Source organism: Homo sapiens, chromosome 1, assembly GCF_000001405.40.
Source record: "Homo sapiens chromosome 1, GRCh38.p14 Primary Assembly".
Lineage (NCBI taxonomy): Eukaryota > Metazoa > Chordata > Mammalia > Primates > Hominidae > Homo > Homo sapiens.
The window spans coordinates 51244193-51265333 of record NC_000001.11 but is presented as its reverse complement, the minus strand read 5'-3'; the positions used below and the strand labels follow the sequence as shown (position 1 = coordinate 51265333).

The window sequence follows — 21141 nt, the reverse complement described above, 5'->3', positions numbered from 1 at the left end:
TTTTTTTTTGGAGACAGGGTCTCACTCTGTCACCCAGGCTGGAATGCAGTGGCGCGATCTTGGCTCACTACAACCTCCACCTCCCAGGTTCAAGCAATTCTCCCACCTCAACCTCGAGTAGCTGGGAGTACAGGCACGCGCCACCACGCCCAGCTAATTTTTTTATTTTTAGTAGAGACAGGGTTTCACCATGTTGGCCAGGCTGGTCTCGAATCCTGGCCTCAAGTGATCCACCTGCCTTGGCCTCCCAAAGTGTTGGGATTACAGGTGTGATACAGGTGTGAGCCACTGCACCCGGCCAGAAGATAGGGTCAAACATCAAAAACAGCAAGGTCTGATCTGATGCGAAAAATCTCTGAAGCATTCCGGTTGTTTGTTAATATATAAATGAAGCACCTATAAAATGATGGATGTTGTCAAGAATGTATCGGGCCCTAATCTTAGGTGGTTTAAGCCAAGAAAGACACAAAACAGGTGAATGTAAAACGTGTCTGTCTGAAGGGCACTACATTAAAAGTTGGATTCAATTTAGGGAATGTGATACAATTTCAGAAACGAAAACAATGCAGTGGGGAAGTGCCTAAATAATGTGCTGAGGCTGGAAATAGCACAAGTCTGGTTTGTGGTGAAGGAAAAATAAAGTCACTGCTAAAGCATGCAGCTTGTCACCAAAAGCGGTATCTTTTCCTCCAGTAGGAAATAAGAGCCAGCTCTTCTGATCCTTCTCTTTATATCCTTACAAGCTGCTGCTGGCACCACCTTCTTCCCAGCTGCAGTCTCCTACTGGGAAATGTTTTCTCTGAATTTTGCCAGACTGACATTTAAGACCATAAAATGGAGGATTTAGAATAGTTGGTCTCAATGTATGTTCTACTTCTGATGTTCCATGAAATCTTGACCAAAACAAAAACCCCCAGATTAGCACTGATGCAGTTCCTGAACAATTACACAGAGAGATGTAAAAGCTAGCATCACATCTATCTTCCTGATAAATGTGTGTGTGTGTGTGTGTGTGTATATATATATATATATATATATATATATATTTTTTTTTTTTTTTTTTTTTTTTTTTTTGAGATAGGGTCTCATTCTGTTACCTAGGCTAGAGTGCAGTGGCACAATCTTGGCTCACTGCAGCCTTGACGACCCCCCGGGCTCAAGTGATCCTCCCACTTCAGTCTCCTGAGTAGCTGGGACTACAGGCCCATGCTACTATGCCCCGCTAATTAAAAATATACATTTTGTAGAGACAGGTTTTCACTATGTTGCCCAGGCTGGTCTAGAATTCCTGGGCTCAAGCAATCCTCCTGCCTTGGCCTTCCAAAGTGCTGGGATCCCAGGAGTGAGCAGCCAAGCCTAGCCTTAAAAAGCACATCTCAGCACTGAGGAAATACAGTATCACGATAAGGTGAAAGGCTTCCATTAACTGTAACACCTTAGAGATATAATTCACATTCTATTTCCCTATTTAAAATACACACTTCAATGGTTTCCAGTGTGTTCAGAGCTATGCAACCATCACTTATCAATTTTAGAACATTTTCATTACCCCCAAAAGAAAGTGTACTCATTAACAGTCACTCCCCCAAACTCCCCGGCCCTAGGCTACTACTAACTAATTTGCTTTTTGTCTCTATAGATTTGCCTATTCTGGGCATTTCATAGATAAGCATTATTCAGATGTGTGGGTTTCGTTCCAGACCACCCTAATAAAACTGATCACAGATCACTGTAAAAGATATAATGAAAGAGTCTGAAAGCACGAGAATTACCAAATGTAGCAGAGAAATGAAATGAGCTGCTGGGAAAATGGTGCCAAAAGAATTGTTTCATGCAGAGCTGCCACAAACCTTCAAGTTGTGTAAACACACACACACACACAACCCTGTGAAGTGCAATAAAACAAGGTATGCCTGTGTATGGAATCATACTAATATGTGGTCTTTTGTGGCTCGACTTTCACTTAGCATGTTTTCAAAGTTCACCCATGATGCAGCATTTATCAGAATTGCATTCCTTTTTATCACTGAATAGTCCACCACCATTTTGTTTAGTCACTGATGGACATGGGTTGTTTCTACTTGTTAGCTACTGTGAATAACAGTGTTATGAAAATACATGTATAAGTTTTTGTACATGTTTTCATTTTATTGGGTATATAAACCAATGAATGGAACTCTGCAAAACCTTTTGTAGAACTGCCAAACTTTTCCAAAGCACCTGCACCATCTTACAATCCCATCGAGAGCTGTATTGGTAAGTGATGGTTGTGTAACTCTGAACACACTGGAAATCAATGAAGTGTGCATTTTAAAAAGGGAAATAGAATGTTCCAGTTTCTCTACAGCATTGCTTAAACTTAATCTTTTTATTATAACCATTCAAGTGGATAAGATGTGATATCTCATTGTGATTTTGATTTGCCCTCTCTGATAGCAAATTATCTTTTTGTTATCTCCTGGACACAAGTCCCTTAGCAGACCAATGATTTACAAGTATTTTCTTCGAGAGGCTGAGGCAGGCAGATCACCTGAGGTCAGGAGTTCAAGACCAGCCTGGCCAACATGGTCAAACCTTGTCTCTACTAAAAATACAAAAAAAAAAAAAAAAAAAAAAAAGATTAGCAGGCGGTGGTAGTGCACACCTGTAATCCCAACTACTTGGGAGGCTGACGCACAAGAACTGCTTGAACCTGGGAGGTGGCATTGCAATAAGCCAAGATTGTGCTGCTGCACTCCAGTCTAGATGACAGAGGGAGACTCTGTCTCAAACAAACAAACAAACAAAAAAAAGCCCAAATATTTTCTTGCATCCTATGGGTTATCTTTTCACTTTCTTTACGTTATTTGAAGAACAAATTTTAAATTTTAATGAAATTCAACTTTGGTTACTTTTACTTTCAGTATCCTAAGAAGTTTGTCAAACCCAAGGTCATGAGCATTTGCTCCTATATCTTCTAAGAGGTTTATAAAGTTTTAGCTCTTACATTTAGGTGTATGAACCATTCTGAGTTAATTTTTGCATATAGTAAGAAAGGGGCCCAACTTCACTTAACTATGTGGTTATATGTAGGTGTCCCAGCATCATCCGTTAAAAATTGTTTTGGGGCCAAGTGCAGTGGCTCACACCCGCAATCCCAGCCTGGGCAACATGGCGAAACCCCATCCCTACAAAAATTAGCCAGGAGTGGTGGTACATGCCTGTAGCCTCAGGCTACTAGGGAGGCCAAGGCGGGTGGATCACCTGAGACCAGGAGTTCGAGACCAGCCTGGCCAACATAGTGAAACTCCATCTCTACTAAAACAGAAAAAATTAGCTGGGGGTGGTGGTATGTGCCTGTAATCCCAGCTGCTCGGGAGTCTGAGGCAGGAGAATCGCTTGAACCGGAGAGACGGAGGTTGCAGTGAGCCGAGACTGCTGGGATTACAGGCATGAGCCATAGCAACGAGCCGTGAAATTTTTATTTAAAAATCTTATCACAGGCTGAGCGTGGTGGCAGGTGCCTGTAGTCCCAGCTACTCCGGAGGCTGAGGCAGGAGAATGGTGTGAACCCGGGAGGACGAGCTTGCAGTAAGCTGAGATCGTGCCACTGCACTCCAGCCTGGGCAACAGAGCAAGACTCCGTCTCAAGAAAAAAAAAAAAAAATCTTATCACAGACAGGGCGTGGTGGGAGGCTGAGGCAGGAGAATCACTTGAACCTGGGAGGTGGAGGTTGCAGTGAGCTGAGATCGTGCCACTGCACTCCATCCTGGGCAACAGAGCAAGACTCCATATATATTTGGGCCCATTTCATGCTGCAAATCTTAATTACGTCTGACAATTTACCTAAATATTCCAACAGCAAAATTCAACTGAATTACAATACCACATACCTATCAGAACTCTGTGACTCAGAGTTCAGAACTCTCAAAAGGCTTTGTGGTTTCTGGCAGCAATGACAGGAGCTCACTCTGGGATTGCCTCTCACGGATTCTTAACACTTTTTTTTTTTGCCATGGAAACCTTATGCAGTCCAATGAAAGCTATTTCAGATAACGTTTTTGAATAAAACACATAAGATTACTAAGGAAATCAATCACACTGAAAGCAGTTCTATCCCTGACCTTAAAGGGTCTGTGGATCTCAATTTTAGTACTCCTCAATCTAAAGATTACTTTGAGATTAAGAACTTAGATCTTACAGAGTTCATTAAAACATGTTTTAAGGGAGAAACATTTTTGAGAAACAAAATCTAGGGATGAGAAAAAAGTCCAGATAATTAAACACAGAGGAGGTGGTGAGGTATATGTGAAAAAGGAATGATAAGCTTACATCAACATTAAAGGTTCTTTCTTTCGATTCTCATGTGCATGTGAATTTCCCGCTAAAACTGACTTTATTAAGCAAATTTGTTCCAAACTTTAAAAAATTTTTAACTTAAAAAAATATAAAGTACCTATGTATCTAAACCCCAGAATAGTTTATTCACAAGTGAAAATGCAACTTAACTGCCACTGCCTCTGGGATCTCTCTATTGGGAGTTGCTAGAAAATACTGTGATGAGCTTGAGTATCTGGTTTTCCAACATGCCAAATTATTAGAAGTAGGAAGAGGTAGTTTAAGGGCAGACACACTAACAGCAGATGAAGAACTGACAATGAGGAAAAAAAAATCAATAAAAAGTAGGTGCAAGAATCCAAAAGCCTAACAGCTTTCACCCACTAACACAATTGTCCTACATAATTAAAGACTCTGGATGCACTATTCTGTTACCTCCAGGGTATAATAACGTATCTAATAATAATTTTGAATCAGTAAGATAAAATGACAATGTGCTCAGAAGTCATTTCAGTGATTTCTGGGGAAGGGAGTGAAGTTGAAAAGGGAGAAGGTGTGAAAGTTTGAAAGAGGGCCAGGTTGAGAATCAGTCTGAGAATGAAAACACCCAAAACTGAATATTAACGCTTTACAAAAACACACCCTAAAAAATTTTAATTAAAGAGAGACAAACAGACATGAGCCTATTTAGAAAATCCCAAGGACTCTAACCAAAACCTCCTAAAATGAATTCAGCAAGGTTGCAGGTTAAAAGAACACACATAAATTAATTGTATTTGTAAATACCAGCAATGAACTGGAAGCCAAAATAAAAAGTTTGAACACCATTTACGATACCAAAAAACTGAAATGTTTAAAGGTATAAATTTATCTTGTGCAGGATCCGTATGTTAAAAACTAATTCACAAAAAAATTAACAGATCAACAATGGGCCTCAGCCAATTAACTAAACTTACAAACTCCTAATTCATAGGACCTAACACCACCTTGCAAACAGGGGTACATCATAAAAATCTAAACAATCCACAAAGTAATATCATTTCTGCTTTTAGGGGCTTTTAAGACTACAACTATTGATGGCCTTGAATTGCTACATAAAATTAAAAGCACAAAGAGAATGCGATAAGTTTAGTGTTTCTGAAATCTTTCTAACGTCTTCTCCTACATACGCTATTTGATCATGAACTTATTAACTCTTTGACAACAGAAAATATTCAATTACTGATTGACTTAAACTTTGACCTACACTCCTCACCAATCTTTAATTCACTGAAGTGCTTTAGAAAAGAACAGGAAAAGGTTTCTGTTACTTAAAAAGATTTGTTCCAGTGGTGGTATAATCATTGCTTTCATGACCAAAAATCAAAACATATTTAAGAGGTAGTCTAGGAAATTTTAGAAGCTTAAATACAGGAATTTCTATAACATGTAAGAGATTTACAGTGATAATGGATCAAAACATTTAACATGAGAATTTTTGCAGGAAAATCAGGATGGATGAGAAGCTGCATTATACAACATTTTTTAAAAACCCTAATTTATTCTTTCAGCAGAGTGCCACTGTGTGTCAGATACTGTGCTAAATATTTCCACGCCTTAAATTCATTTATCTTTGCAACCATTTGAAAAAGTTGCAATAACCTCCACTTTTCAGTTGAAGAAACAAACTTAATTAAGGACCTAACTGAGGTTAGAGAGGAAAAGGGGCTTGCTTAGTGAAGGGCTTCTCAACCTGGGCAATACTGACATTTTAGTAAGACAATTCTTTGTTGTAGGGGCTGTCCTGTACATCACAGGGTGTTTGGCAGTTCTCTCCATCCACTAGATGCCAGTGGCACCCTCTTCCCTGCCACATTGTGACAACCAAAAAATGTCTCTAGACTTTGCTAAACGTTTCCTGGAGAGCAAATTCATCCTGGTTGAGAACCACTGGCTTAGGATCTTACAGTAAACAGGACAAAACAAGGCTGGATAGTTTCTGGTGTTACAAGAAAGCCATAAAGGATGGGATACATGTCCTTTTTCTGGTAGTTTTTTGAACAAGGCCTCCAGTTGTCACATGAAAATGGGGTGGGGAGTGGTGCAAACGCTAAATATACAAAGGCCCAGTGGACATAATACTAAATAAAACACATCCACATTACACTGAAATGAGCCTTAATTGATAGGAATTGGTGCCTTAGTAATAACTACACTATAAATTCAAGAGAGAAACGTTAGACAGAGAGCACAGATTGCCTATCAGGGAGATTGGCAAAAGAAAGGAAATCACCAACTGAGAATAGAAAAGAAGACACGGGGACACTAAAAACATTTTATTAACTCGAGAAATTTGCTGAGGCAGGGCTGTTTACTTCCAAATGAAAAAAGAGATGTTATACATATGGGTATTTCTGATAATTTATGTGCCATATGTTGTGCCTACCTTTAGGATTTATGAAACATTTTTAGAAGACCCATTTCATTTTAAAGAAGTCTCATTACTTCAAGTATCACTGTATAACCTACTTAATTCCAGTATCTCATTCCTCTCCTGGACTCTACTGGAAATGAACTCCTAGAGGCTCCTGTGACTGCCTTTGAGCCAAATCTAGTGTATTATATAACATTTTCTGCCTCACTGTGCAGTTATCCCTATTGTTTAAATGCATTTCTCCTAGTTGCCCTGCTCTACTGCCCAACCTATTTCTGCATCTTTAAAATGAAGAGGATCTCCAGCAGTCCCCACTTATTGCAAGGTTTCAGTTAACTGTGGTCAACCATGGTCTGAAAATACTATATGGAAAATTCCAGAAATAAACAACTAATGTTGTAAATTGCGTGCCATTCCGATTATCACTGATCACTAGAGAAATGCAAATTGGCTGGGTGCAGTGGCTCACACCCGTAATCCCAGCACTTTAGGAGGCCAAGGCAGGCGGATCACCTGAGGTCAGGAGTTCGAGGCCAGCCTGGGCAACATGGTGAAACTCCATCTCTACTACAAATGCAAAAATTAGTTGGGCATGGTGGTGGGTGCCTATAATCCCAGCTACTCGGGAGGCTGAGGCAGGAGAACTGCTTGACCCTGGGAGGCGGAGGTTTCAGTGAGCCAAGATTGCACCACTGTACTCCAGCCTGAGCATCAGCAACAGACTTTGTCTCAAAAAAAAAAAAAAAAAAGAAAAGAAAAGAAAAGAAATAAGAAGAGAAATGCAAATCAAAAACCACAATGAGATACCATCTCATCAGTCAGAATGGCTATTATTAAAAAGTCAAGGCTGGGCACAGTAGCTCACGCCTGTAATCCCAGCACTTTGGGAGGCTGAGGCAGGCGGATCACTTGAGGCTAGGATCTTGAGACCAGCCTGGGCAATGTGGCGAAACCCCATCTCTACAAAAAATACAAAAATTAGTCGGGCATGGTGGTGTACATCTGTAATCCCAGCTGCTCGAGAGAGGCTGAGGCACAAGAATAGCTTGAATCGGAGGGGGCAGAGGTTGCAGTGAGCTGAGATTGTGCCATTGTATTCCATTCTGGTCCGCAGAGCAAGACTATCTCCAAAACAAAAAAACAAACAAAAAATGTAAATAAAAAATAAAGAAAATTAAAATAAAAACTCCAAGTGGACCCAATTGGGGCCACCACACTTTTGTGAATTTTACCTCCAAAACCTCTACCAGGTCCTCACGTGAGTGCTTCCAGGAGGCGGAGAGGAAAATAAACCATTTTAAATATGCCAGAGCATTCTGCTCCTAATAAGTCTTATCCTCATGCGAAACTTTTAATTTAATATAAAGTTCTGGGAGAAACTTTTACCAGAGCTTAACCTACCTGGGGAAAGAGAACTACCCAACTCCAGCCCCTCCAGCCATCCTGTCCCAGATAAGGTGGGTGGGAGGTACTGAGAAGCACTGAGAACTGCAAATTAAAACAAAAAATACCACACACACCTATCAGAATGGTGAAAATCCAAAACACTGACATTAAGTCCTGGCAAGGATGTGTGGTAACAGAAACTCTCATTTACTGCTGGTGGGAATGCAAAATGGTATGCTTTGCGACCAGGCACGGTGGCTCACGCCAGTAATCCCAGCACTTTGGAAAGCCAAGGCGGGAGGATCACCTGAGGTCAGGAGTTTGAAACCAGCCTGGCCAACATGGTGAAACCCCGTCTCTACTAAAAATGCAAAAATTAGCTGGGCATGGTGGCACGTGCCTGTAATCCAAGCTACTCGGGAGGCTAAGGCACGAGAATCGCTTGAGCCAGGGAGGTGGAGGTTGTGGTGAGCTGAGATCACGCCATACTGTACTCCAGCCTGGGTGACAGCGAGACTCCATCTCAAAAAACAATAACAACAACAACAACAACAAAAATGGTATGCTTAGGGTGACAGTTTGATAATTCTCACACAACTAAACATATTATTACCATTTGATCCAGCAATTGCACCCTTTGGTATTTACCCAAAGGAGTTGAAAAATACATCCAACCAAAACCCAGAAACAAATGTTTACAGGAGCTTTATTCATGACTATCGAAATGTGGAAGTAACTATGGTGTCCTTCGATAGGTAAATAGATAAACTACAGTATATCAATGCAAATGGAATGTTATTCAGCACTAAAAAATAAATGAGCTATCAAGCCATGAAAAACATGGAGGAACTTTAAATACATATTACTACATGAAAGAAGCCAATCTGAAAAGGCTACATACTGTATGATTCCAAATATGCAACATTCTGCAAATGGCAAAACTATGGAGACAATAGAACCATCAGTGGTTGTCAGGTGTTGGGGGGAGGGATGAACAGATGGAACACGGAAAATTTTTAGAGCAGTAAAACTACACGTATGATACTATAATGGTGGATGCATGTCATTATACATGGCAAATCCATGTACAACACCAAGAATGAACTCTAAGATAAACAGTGGGTTTGGGGTGATAATGTTTTGGCAATCGTTGAATATTTCAATGTGGGTTCATTAAAAAAAATTAAATGTAGCTCTATCAAAATTCTAGCTGGCTCATTTGCAGAAATTGACAGTTGATCCTAAAATTCACATGGAAATACAAGGGACTAAGAATAGCCATAACAATCCTGAAAAGGGAGAACAACAACAACAAAAAAGACTCACACTTTCTGATTTCAAACCTTACTTATAAAGCTACAGTACAGTACTAGCCTAAGGACAGACATATAGACCAATGGAACAGAAGAGTCCAGAGATGTACTCTCATATTTATAGACAACTGATCTTTGGCAAGAATACCAAGATAATTCAATGAGAAAAGAAAACTATTTTCAACAAATGGTGCTGGAACATCAGGCTAGTCACATGCAGAAGAATCAAGTTTGACCCCCTCCTTGAACATACCAAAAGCTCCCCAAAGAAAAAAATAGACAAACTGGTTTTTATCAGGATTAATCACTTTTGTGCTTCCAAAAACACCAGCAAGAAAGTGAAACACAGCTGGGTGCAGTCGCCCACGCCTGTAATCCCAACACTTTGGGAAGCCAAGGTAGAATTGCTTAAGCCCAGGAATTCAAAGCCAGCCTGGGAAAAAGAGTGAGACCTTGTCTCTGCCAAAAAGACAAAAATTAGCCAGGTGTGGTGGCATGCACCTCTAGTCCCAGCTACTCAGGAGGCTGAGGCAGGTGGATCGCTTGAGCCCAGAGTTTGAGGCTGCAATGAGCTATGATTGTGCCACTGCACTCAAGCATGGGCAACAGTGTGAGACCCTGTCACTAAAAAGAAAAATAAAAAATTAAATGTAACAAACTTATCCAGAGTACAAACTGCTGAGTCTCTATGTCAGCTATAATGTACACATTGCATGATATATAAGTAGTAGAAACATATATATACATATTATATAGCATATTAATAGTATTAAAAATAATATAGTTCCTCTTTACAGATACTATGTGATAATTAAATAAAATAATGTATGTTATGCATTAAACAGTATGTTGGGGGCAATGTAAACACTCCCCTCACCAATGTATAAGCTATTGCTTTTCTATGCAAGTATTCTATTCAAGAAAGAGCCTATAATGAAAAGAAAATTGGAGCTATGTTTTTTTCTCCCAGAGTAAAGTTAGTAAGAGCCAGCATATACTTATGTGCTATTCATTTGAAAAAGGAACTAGGCTGGGTGCTCATGCCTGTAATCCCAGCACTTTAAGGGGCCAGGGCAACCTGAAGTCCAGACCAGCCTGGCCAATGTGGCGAAACTCTGCCTTTACAAAAATACAAAAAAATGGCCGGGTGCAGTGGCTTATACCTGTAATCCCAGCATTTTGGGAGGACGAGGTGGGCAGATCACTTGAGTCTGGGAGTTCGAGACCTGCCTGGCCAACATAGTGAAATCCCCTCTCTACTAAAAATACAAAAATTAGCAGGGAGTGGTGGCACACGCCTGTAATCCTAGCTACTTGGGAGGCGGCTGAGACAGGAGAATCGTTTGAACCCAGGGGATGGAGCTTGCAGTGAGCCGAGATCCTGCCACTGCACTCCAACCTGGGTGACAGAGCGAGACTCCATCTCAAAAAAAAATTAAAAATACAAAAAAATTAGCCAAGCATGGTGGCATACACCTGTAGTCCCAGCTACTCGGGAGGCTGAGGCACAACTGCTTGAACCTGGGAGGCAGAGGTTGCAGTAAGTGGAGATCGTGCCAATGTACTACAGGCCTGGGCAACACAGCAAGACTCCATCTCAAAAACAGAAAAAGAAAAAGGAATTCATTCAAGGAAGCAAGGAATATCTAACTCTAATCAAGGAGACCATGTTTTATTCTTTGATTTAAAAAAAAAACTATAACCTAATCAACAGAATTATCTCATGAATGTGCCAACACAAAGGGGGTTAAAGTTTTAGGGGGAACCCCCCAATATTCATCAATGCCACATTTTGGTCACCAAAGAGGTATGCTTTATTGTGGAACATATTTTTCCACTGTTTCGATAAATTATTTAGGATGATCCGATTGATCGTGTAGAGCTTTAAAATCCTCACATCCTTTGATTTAGCAATTCCTTCCCTTTTTTTTTTTTAGAGATGGGACCTCACTATGTTGTCCAGGCTAGTCTCCAATTTCTAGGCTCAAGCAATCCTCCCGCCTCCACATCCCAAAGTGCTAGGATTACAGGCATGAGTCATTGTGCCTGGCAAGATCCAGCAATTCCTAAAAAAATTTATACAAATAAAATATTCTAAAACAAGAAGTGTTTTATCGATTAAACATTCATAGTATTATTTAAAATATCAAGAAAGCAAAAATAATGAAGTGTTGAGCAAATTATAGCACCCTAAACATTCTTCTTCATAAAATTTATGGCAGTGTATTTTATATCCATTTACCTACATCCCTCTCTAGAACGCGGGTACAGAGAACATGGAGATCATTTTACTTATCTTCACATTCTAGGATCTAACACAATCTCTACTTTCCTTCTATTCTTTATTTCGTTTCCCCCACCTCCTTTTTTTTTTTTTTTTTAAGAGACAGGATCTTGAGGTTGCCCAGGCTGGAGTGTAGTGGTGTGATCATATCTCACTGTTACCTCGAGCTCCTGGGCTCAAGTGATCCTCCTGCCTCAATCTTCCAAGTAGCTGGGACTACAGGTGCATGCCACCACACCTAACTTTTTTATATTATTTGTAGAGATGGGGTGTCAGTATTCTGCCCAGGCTGGTCTCAACCTCCTTCCCTTAAGGGATCCTCTCACCTTGGCATCCCAAAGCACTGAAATCACAGGCTTGAACCCCTGTGCCCGGCCTTATTTTCTAAATATTATGCAGAGAACAATTACCATTCTTTTTTATTAGTAAAATATACTTTAAACTCCTACAAATCAAGTTTTTAACAGACAGACAACCCAATTAAAAACTGGACAACGTCGGGCGTGGTGGATCGCATCTGTAAACCCAGCACGTTGGGAGGCAGAGGCGGGCGGATCACGAGGTCAGGAGTTTTGAGACAAGCCTGGCTGACATGGTGAAACCCCATCTCTACTAAAACTACAAAAAAATTAGCCGCGCGTGGTGGGCGCCTATAATCCCAGCTACTTGGGAGGCTGAGGCAGGAGAATCGCTTGAACCTGGGAGGTGGAGGTTGCAGTGAGCCAAGATCGCGCCACTGCACTCCAGCCTGGGCAACAGAGCAAGACTCTCTGTCCCCCCCAAACACACACACACACACACACACACACACACAAACTGGACAAAAGACTTCACAAAAGACAATACCCGAAAGGCCAAAAAGCACTTGAAAAGGTTAACTCTACTACTCACTGGGAAAATGCAAATTAAAACCACAATGAAATACAGTTGACCCTTGAACATGGGGGTTAGGGGTCTCAACCCCCAGTGCAGTCGCAAACCTTCATATAATTTTTCTTTTTTTTGAGACAGGGTTTCACTCCCGTTACCCAGGCTGGAGTGCAATGACGCAATCTTGGCATACTGCAACCTCCGCCTCCCAGGCTCAAGCAATTTTCCTGCTTCAGCCTCTCAGGTAGCTGGGACTATAGGTGCCCGCCACCACATCCAGCTAATTTTTGTATTTTTTATAGAAACAGAGTTTTGCTGTGTTGCCCAGGCTGGTCTCGAATTCCTGAGCTCAAATGATCTGCTGTCTTGGCTTCTGTCTTGGCTTCCCAAGACATATACCTAGGATTACGGGTATATGCCCCATGCATGGCCTAAACTTTGACTTCCCAAAAACTTAACTACTAATAAGCTACTGTTGACCAAAGAAACCTTATGGATAACACAAACTTGATTAACCCATATTTTGTATGTTACATGTATAACATATTGCATTCTTACGAAATAAGCCAGAGAAAAGAATATTAGGAAAATCATAAGGAAGAGAAAATACATTTACAGTGTTATACTGTATTTTCTTTTTCTGTTTCTTTTTTTTTTTTTTTTTTTTTGCTTTGAGATGGAGTCTTGCTCTGTCACCCTGGCTGGAGTGCAGTGGCATGATCTTGGCTCACTGCGACCTGTCTCCCGGATTCAAGCAATTCTCTTGCCTCAGCCTCCTGAGTAGCTGAGATTACAGGCATGCACTACCACACCCAGCTAATTTTTATATTTTTAGTAGAAACAGGGTTTCACCATGTTGGCCAGGCTCGTCGCAAACTCCTGACCTCAAGTGATCCACCCACCTTGGCCTCCCAAAGTGCTGAGATTACAGGCGTGAGCCACCTCGCCCGGCTCCAGCTAATTCTTTTGATTTTTTGTAAAGATGAGGTCTTGCTCTCCTGCCCAGGCTGTCTCAAAATCCTGAGTTCAAGTGATCCTCCTGCCTCGGCCTCCCAAAGGTGTGGGATGACAGGTATTAGCCACCATGCCCAGCCCAAATTTTAATTTTTTATAATAGATGTGAATGCTTTACGGTAGTAAATGATAAAATGGACTAGTATTTACATATTTTATGCATCCATCATGACATACCTTAATTTTTTGATATTTCAAAAAATGAGAATCACCTAAGTTTATTCAAATTGTCACAAATCCTTTCTTCTCCGAGAAAACACCAAATGGTGGATGACACCAGTGCAGCGGGGGGGGGCCCGGAGGCCCTGGGATGGGGAACTGCGGTGGCTTCCGCGGAGGTTTCGGCAGTGGCATCCGGGGCCGGGGTCGCAGCCGTAGACGGGGCCGGGGCCGAGGCCGCGGAGCTCGCGGAGGCAAGGCCGAGGATAAGGAGTGGATGCCCGTCACCAAGCTGGGCTGCTTGGTGAAGGACATGAAGATCAAGTCCCTGGAGGAGATCTATCTCTTCTCCCTGCCCATTAAGGAATCAGAGATCATTGACTTTTTCCTGGGGGCCTCTCTCAAGGATGAGGTTTTGAAGATTATGCCAGTGCAGACGCAGACCCGTGCTGGCCAGCGCACCAGGTTCAAGGCGTTTGTTGCTATCGGGGACTACAATGGCCACGTCGGTCTGGGTGTTAAGTGCTCCAAGGAGGTGGCCACCGCCATCCATGGGGCCATCATCCTGGCCAAGCTCTCCATTGTCCCCGTGCGCAGAGGCTACTGGGGGAACAAGATTGGCAAGCCCCACACCGTCCCTTGCAAGGTGACAGGCCGCTGCGGCTCTGCACTGGTGCACCTCATCCCTGTACCCAGGGGCACTGGCATTGTCTCCGCACCTGTGCCCAAGAAGCTGCTCATGATGGCTGGTATCGATGACTGCTGCACCTCAGCCTGGGGCTGCACTGCCACCCTGGGCAACTTCGCCAAGGCCACCTTTGATGCCATTTCTAAGACCTACAGCTACCTGACCCCCGACCTCTGGAAGGAGACTGTATTTACCAAGTCTCCCGATCAGGAATTCACTGACCACCTCATCAAGGCCCACGCCAGAGTCTCCGTGCAGCGGACCCAGGCTCCAGCTGTGGCTACAACATAGGGTTTTTAGACAAGGAAAATAAAGCGAATTAAGCGTAAAAAAAAAAAATTGTCACAAATCTCAAACAAAAATTCCAACATACTTGTGTAAACAAATTAGCACTGTAAGTGGACCCACGCTATTCAACTCTATGTTGTTCAAAGGTCAACTGCATTTCTATACTTCTACACACCTATTAAAATGTCTAAAATAAAACAGATCTACAATTCCAGAGATCTGTTGTATAACATAGTGACTACAGCTTAGCATAATGTATTGTGTATACTTGAAAACTGCTATGAAAATACATCTTAAATATTCTCACAATAGCAAATCATAACTGTGAGGTGAAGGATCTGTAAATTAGCTTGTCTGTGGTAATCATTTCATGATGTATACATATATTAAAACACCATGGTGTACATCATAAGTATATATAATTATATCAATTATACTTCAAAGCTAAAAAAAGTTTCAAAAATAAAGATTGACAATACCAGATACTGGTGAAGACGTGGCACAAATGAAACTCTCATATTGTCAGTACAAGCAGAAAATTAGTGCAACCACTTGGAAAACTATTTGGCAACTTATTTTTGAAACACATCAACAGGATAGATTGACAGAAGAACGACGAATAGGTATGTGTGAAAGCAAATACAGCAAAACGTTTACTGCAGAATCTAGGTGGTAGGAATGAATATGGGTATTCAAACAATTCTGTCAACTCTTGTTTATTTTTGAAAATTTCTGTAGTAAAATGCTGCAGGAAAAACTAAATATACATGTGGCTCCATTATCCAGTAACTCTATCCCTGGATATATACTCAAAATAGGTGCTCAGGTATAATGTTCACAGCATCTTTATTTATACAGCCAAAAATTGATACTACCCAAATACACATAATGGAATGAATAAGTAAAATGTGGTATATTTACACAATTTTGAATACTGCATAGCAATGAAAAAGAATGTGAACTACTGCCATTACGTAAGAACACAAATTTCACAAAGAATGCTAGAATGTTATTCAGTTTGAAATTCATGACCACACAAAACAAATATGGGTGATAGGAGGTCATAAGGACCAACAGTTACCTTTGGAAAAAAGGTACTAACTGTTGGAGGGGGCAGGAGGGAGCCTTTTGGGGGCTTGGAAACAGACTATATTATAGTTGTGGCTATATTTTGCAAGTGCACTAGCCTACGTAATTAAGAAACCTGCTGGGTGCAGTGGCTCACACCTGTAATCCCAGAGCTTTGGGAGGCTGAGGCAGGAAGATCACTTGAGCCCAATGCTATCCTGGGTAACACAGCGAGAGCCCTATCTCAATCAATCGACCAATCAATCAGTCAATCAAAAGAAACTCAAGATATTCTGTTAAAGATACACTAGTTTCTGTATAATACATTTTAATTAAAATTTACACACACATACTTTTACTGTACAAAATTACACAACTCAATGACCTCTAAATTCATGTCCACCATCTAACAATTAGTCCGACCCGACTGACTCCAAAATCCTTGAACACCAAAATCCTCAGATGCCCAAGTCCCTTATATAAAATGGCATATTTGCACATAACCTGTACACCCTCCCATATACTTTAAATCATCGCTAGATTACTTATAATACCTAATACAATGTTATGTAATAGTTACACTATATATTTTTTTAATTTGTATTAGCTCTTGTATTATTTTTTATTGTTTTCTTTCCCAAATATTTTCTGTGATTGGATGGATCAGAGGATGTGGAACCTGTGAATACAGAAGGCTATCTTTTTGACTCCAAGCTCCACCACTCAATTTAATCAGGGCAGCTCTGTTGTTTTTATTCATTTTTTATACTCAAGTTCCAAGTAAGATTATCCAAAGGATACAGAAGCTAAAAAGTACATTTGTGATTCACTGCCCTATCACAAACTGATCACACAACTTCAAAACTATATACAAAACCATTTAATAATTGATTATGTACTATTTCATGCTGACCTCATAATTGCTTCATGTCTTATCCCTTAACTGTAGGCTCCTAGGGGTAAGAGACTCATCATTTCTCCTTTCCCCGTTGAGCTTAAAACATACTTGCTAACTGATAGAAGAAACTAGAGGCCGGGCGCCGTGGCTGACGCCAGTAATCCCAGCACTTTGTGAGGCCGAGGCGAGCGGATCACCTGAGGTCGGGAGTTCGACACCAGCCTGACATGGAGAAACCCTGCCTCTACTAAAAATACAAAATTAGCCAGGCATGGTGGCGCCGCCTATAATCCCAGCTACCCGGGAGGCTGAGGCAGGAGAATCGCTTCAACCCAGGAGGCAGAGGTTGCAATGAGCCAAGATCGTGCCACTGCACTCCAGCCAGGGTGACAGAGCAAGACTCCATCTCAAAGCCAAAAAAAAAAAAAAGAAAAAGAAAATACAGTATAGCACTGTAAATGTATTTTCTCGTGACACTGCACTCCAACCTGAGCAACAAGAGCGAAGCTCCATCTCAAAAAAAAAAAAAAAAAAAAAAGAAGAAACTAGGTATCAAGCATGGTATTTCTTACCCTTAAGGCCTCGCTACTCAATTATGGTAAACTGCTTCTTTTTCTTCCACAAAAATAAGGTTTAAACTGTTATACAAAATTACATGTAACTTTAACTAACTGGGTCAATTATAAAGTCTCACTCTTCTTAAAGCCATTCAACTTTATGAGTGTTCAGAAAATTTTAAGAGTTTTAGAAGCAAATATATTTGGAGGGTTGCTTTCTTCATTCCCACACTTTCAGATCCTTTAGTTACCTTACAGTATGCTTTCTAGATTAAGTAACAAGATAATTACTCATTTGGCCCCTGGGAGTACACTCTAGGCTGGCAATTTAATTAAAAGATAGGGACACACGCATTCATTGTCAAAATAAGGAACTCATCTAAGAGTTCAAAAGGCCAATTTGAATATAAAAATCAATAGGTCAAGCAAATTCTCCAAGAGGATAAAATACATTTACTTCTCCCTTATCACTTTACTTTTCAACTTTGGCCAGGCCTAGCAGCTCATGCCTGTTATTCCAGCACTTCACTTTAGGAGGGTGAGGCAGGAGGATGGCTTGGGGCCAGGAGTTCAAGACCAGCCTGGCCAACATAATGAGACACTGTCTTTACAAAAAAAAAAAACAAAAAAACAAAAAACCACATACTTCCATTTAACCTGAGGAACCTAATTGAAAACCAAAAAACCCAGACACTTTGACTGGATGTGGTGGCATGAGCCTGTGGTCCCAGCTACTTGGGAGGCTGAACCAGGAGGTTGGCTTGAGCTCAAGAGTTTGCGGCTGTAGTGTGCTATGATCATACCTGTGAATAGCCACTGCACTCCAGCCTAGGCAACAAGGTGAAACCCCGTCTCTAAAAAAAAAAATAACTACACACTGTGGCTATCTAAGCCAGCTCTTCCTCAATCTTTCACTCACATTTCCACTGACTTCTCTCACCACCTCACTCTCACTTTCATTTAGATCACAGCTGAAAAAAGCCTGAACTCTGAGCATGTTAAAAATACCATAAATATTTGTTAATTCAATATTAAAAGTTACTGGTAAGGAATCAACTGTTTACAGCCTATTATTTTTTCCTTTTTTTTTTTTTTTTTAAGAGATAAGGTCTCACTCTGCTGCCTAGGCTGGAATGCAGTGGCTCAATTATAACTCACTGCAGCCTCGAACTCCTGGGCTCAGGTAACCCTCCTGCCTCAGCTTCCTGATTAACTGGGACCACAGGCACAAGCCCAGCTCCAATTTTTCAGTGTATAGTTCAGTGGTATTACATAAAGTTATGTAGCCATTAAACTATCCATCTCCATAACTTTTCATCTTATAAAACAGAAAACTCTACCCACTAAACAATAACTCTCCACTTACAGCCTAAATATTTTCTTGTAGAAATGGGAGTCTCACTGTGTTGCCTAGACTGGTCTCAAACTCCTGGATGCAAGCAATCCTCCCGCCTCAGCCTACCAAAGCGCTGAGATTACAGGTGTGAGCCACCACACCTGGCCTTCCCCATGCCCCCATTCACTCTGTTGCCCAGGCTGGAGTGCAATGGTGCCATCACAGCTCATTATACCTTCCAACTCCTGAGCTCAAGCATTCCTTCTGCCTCAGCCTATAGCTGGGACTACAGGCATGTGCCAACACACCTGACTAATTTTTTATTTTTTTGTAGAGACGAGATCTCGCTATTTTGCCCAGGCTGGTTTCGAACTCCTGGGCTCAAGCAATCCTTCCCACTTGGCCTTCCAAAGTGCTGGTGTACAGGTATGAGCCACTGCACACAGCCTGTCGTCTTCTTTTTTGTTGTTGTTGTTGAGATGGAGTTTCACTCTTGTTGCCCAGGCTAGAGTGCAACAGCGCAACCTAGCCTCAACACAACCTCCACCTCCTGGGTTCAAGAGATTCTCCTGCCTCAGCCTCCCAAGTAGCTGGGATTACAGGCATGTGCCACCACACCCGGCTATTTTTGCATTTTTAGTAGAGACGGGGTTTCTCTATGTTGGTCAGGCTGGTCTCAAACTCCTAACCTCAGGTGACCCGCCCACCTCAGCCTCCCAAAGTACTGAGATTACAGGTGTGAGCCACTGTGCCTGGCCACCTGTCTTCTTTCTTGACTGTGTCTCAGCCAAGGTAAATTCTGCACATGAAGAGGGAAGTGATAAGAGGTTGATTGCAGATACAATCAGAATTAGAGATGTGTTGTATTTCTTTTCTTGCCTCAAGTCGTTTGCAAATATGTCTTTTATGTATTACCTTCCTTACTTCAGGTACAGAGTTAGGGATGTATTTCTGTCCTGTACTCATATGGGTTATTAAAAATAGGCTGTTGGTGTCCAGCCCAGTAGCTCACGCCTGTAATCTCAGCACTTTGGTAGGCCTAGGTGGGTGGATCACGAGGTCAGGAGTTAAGACCAGTCTGGCCAACATGGTGAAACCCCATCTCTACTAAAAATACAAAAAATTAGCCAGGTGTGGTGGTGCTTGCCTCTAATCCCAGCTACTCAGGAGGCTGAGGCATGAGAATCGCTTGAACCCAGGTGGCAGAAGTTGCAGTGGGCTGAGACTGCACCACTGCACTCCAGCCTGGGCGATGGAGTAAGACTCCATCTCCAAAAAAAAAGGCTGTTGGGTGGGCATGGTGGCTCACACTTGTAATCTCAGCACTTTGGGAGGCCGAGGTGGGTGGACTGCTTGAGTTCAGGAGTTTGAGACCAGCCTGGGCAATATAGTGAGACCCCGTCTCTACTAAAAATACAAAAAATAGCTGGGTGTGGTGGTATGCACCTGTGGTCCCAGCTATTCAGGAGACTGAGATGGGAGGACTGCTTGACCCGTCTCTACAAAAAATAAAAATTAGCCAGGCAAAGTGGTGCACGCCTATAGTCCCAGCTACTCAGGAGGCTGAGGTGGGAGGATGGCTTGGGCCCGTGAGGTTGAGGCTTCAGTGAGCCGTGACCATGCCACTACATTCAGCCTAGGCAACAGAGTAAGATTATGTCTCAAAGAAAGAAAAAGAATCCCAATCTACATAAGTATTTCTATTAAAACTTTTAAAGATCAAAATTCTGCAACAAAGGTTTCTACTATTACCTAAAAAATATTTTAAGAAAATCAAGTGCTCAGATCTTATGTACCAAGTAACTCACCATCCCATCTCCATCTTCTCAAGTTACCCTATAATTAGCTCTAGAATTAAACTCTGAACAGACTATCTTACTCTTAGTGATGCATACAATCTTAATGCCAAAAAATCAGCCTTTATTAAAGCACATTCAGAATGAGAGGTCAGGCAGAAACAAAGAAAAATCCTGCAACAATGGGGTCACACAAATAACAAATAACTGGTTACTTATTTATAAAAGTCACCTAGGCAAGCTGAACTTCATGGAACACAAAACCAAATTCAGGCTGGGCGCGGTGGCTCACGCTTGTAATCCCAGCACTTTGGGAGGCCGAGGCAGGAGGATCACAAGGTCAGGAGATCAAGACCACGGTGAAACCCCGTCCCTACTAAAAATACAAAAAATTAGCCAGGTGTGGTGGCGGGCACCTGTAGTCCCAGCTACTCGGGACAGGCTGAGGCAGGAGAATGGCGTGAACCCGGGAGGCGGAGCTTGCAGTGAGCTGAGATCGCGCCACTGCACTCCAGCCTGGGTGACACAGCGAGACTTCGTCTCAAACAAACAAACAAAAAAAAAAACAAATTCAAAAAATATATAATGAAATTAACTTTCCCAAAGCTCAACGTACTTTATAAATTAGAAGTGATAGGCCAAACACTAAAGCACAGGATTCTGGGAATGCTTAATAGACACTAACAACCATACAATTGCACACTCTTACAGCAAAATGCTGATCATTACATTCACTAAAGTATAAGTGCGTGC

The 21141-nt window shown here is 41.6% G+C and overlaps 1 protein-coding gene and 1 pseudogene across 1 annotated transcript in view, besides 1 other annotated feature; one reads left to right on the top strand and one right to left on the bottom strand.

Moving 5' to 3' along the window:
• The window catches only part of RNF11 (ring finger protein 11), a 37175-nt gene that overhangs the window by 8114 nt on the left and 7920 nt on the right, over positions 1 to 21141 (bottom strand). The window lies entirely within an intron of this gene.
• Positions 3823 to 4117: a silencer, noted in NCBI's record as "tiled region #6511; HepG2 Repressive non-DNase unmatched - State 19:H4K20, and K562 Repressive non-DNase unmatched - State 8:EnhW". NCBI's record gives its function as "represses a minimal TATA promoter and a strong SV40 promoter by Sharpr-MPRA in HepG2 and K562 cells {active_cell/tissue: HepG2 | K562}" and the evidence as "EXISTENCE:reporter gene assay evidence [ECO:0000049][PMID:27701403]".
• On the top strand, positions 13840 to 14772 carry RPS2P8 (ribosomal protein S2 pseudogene 8; annotated as a pseudogene).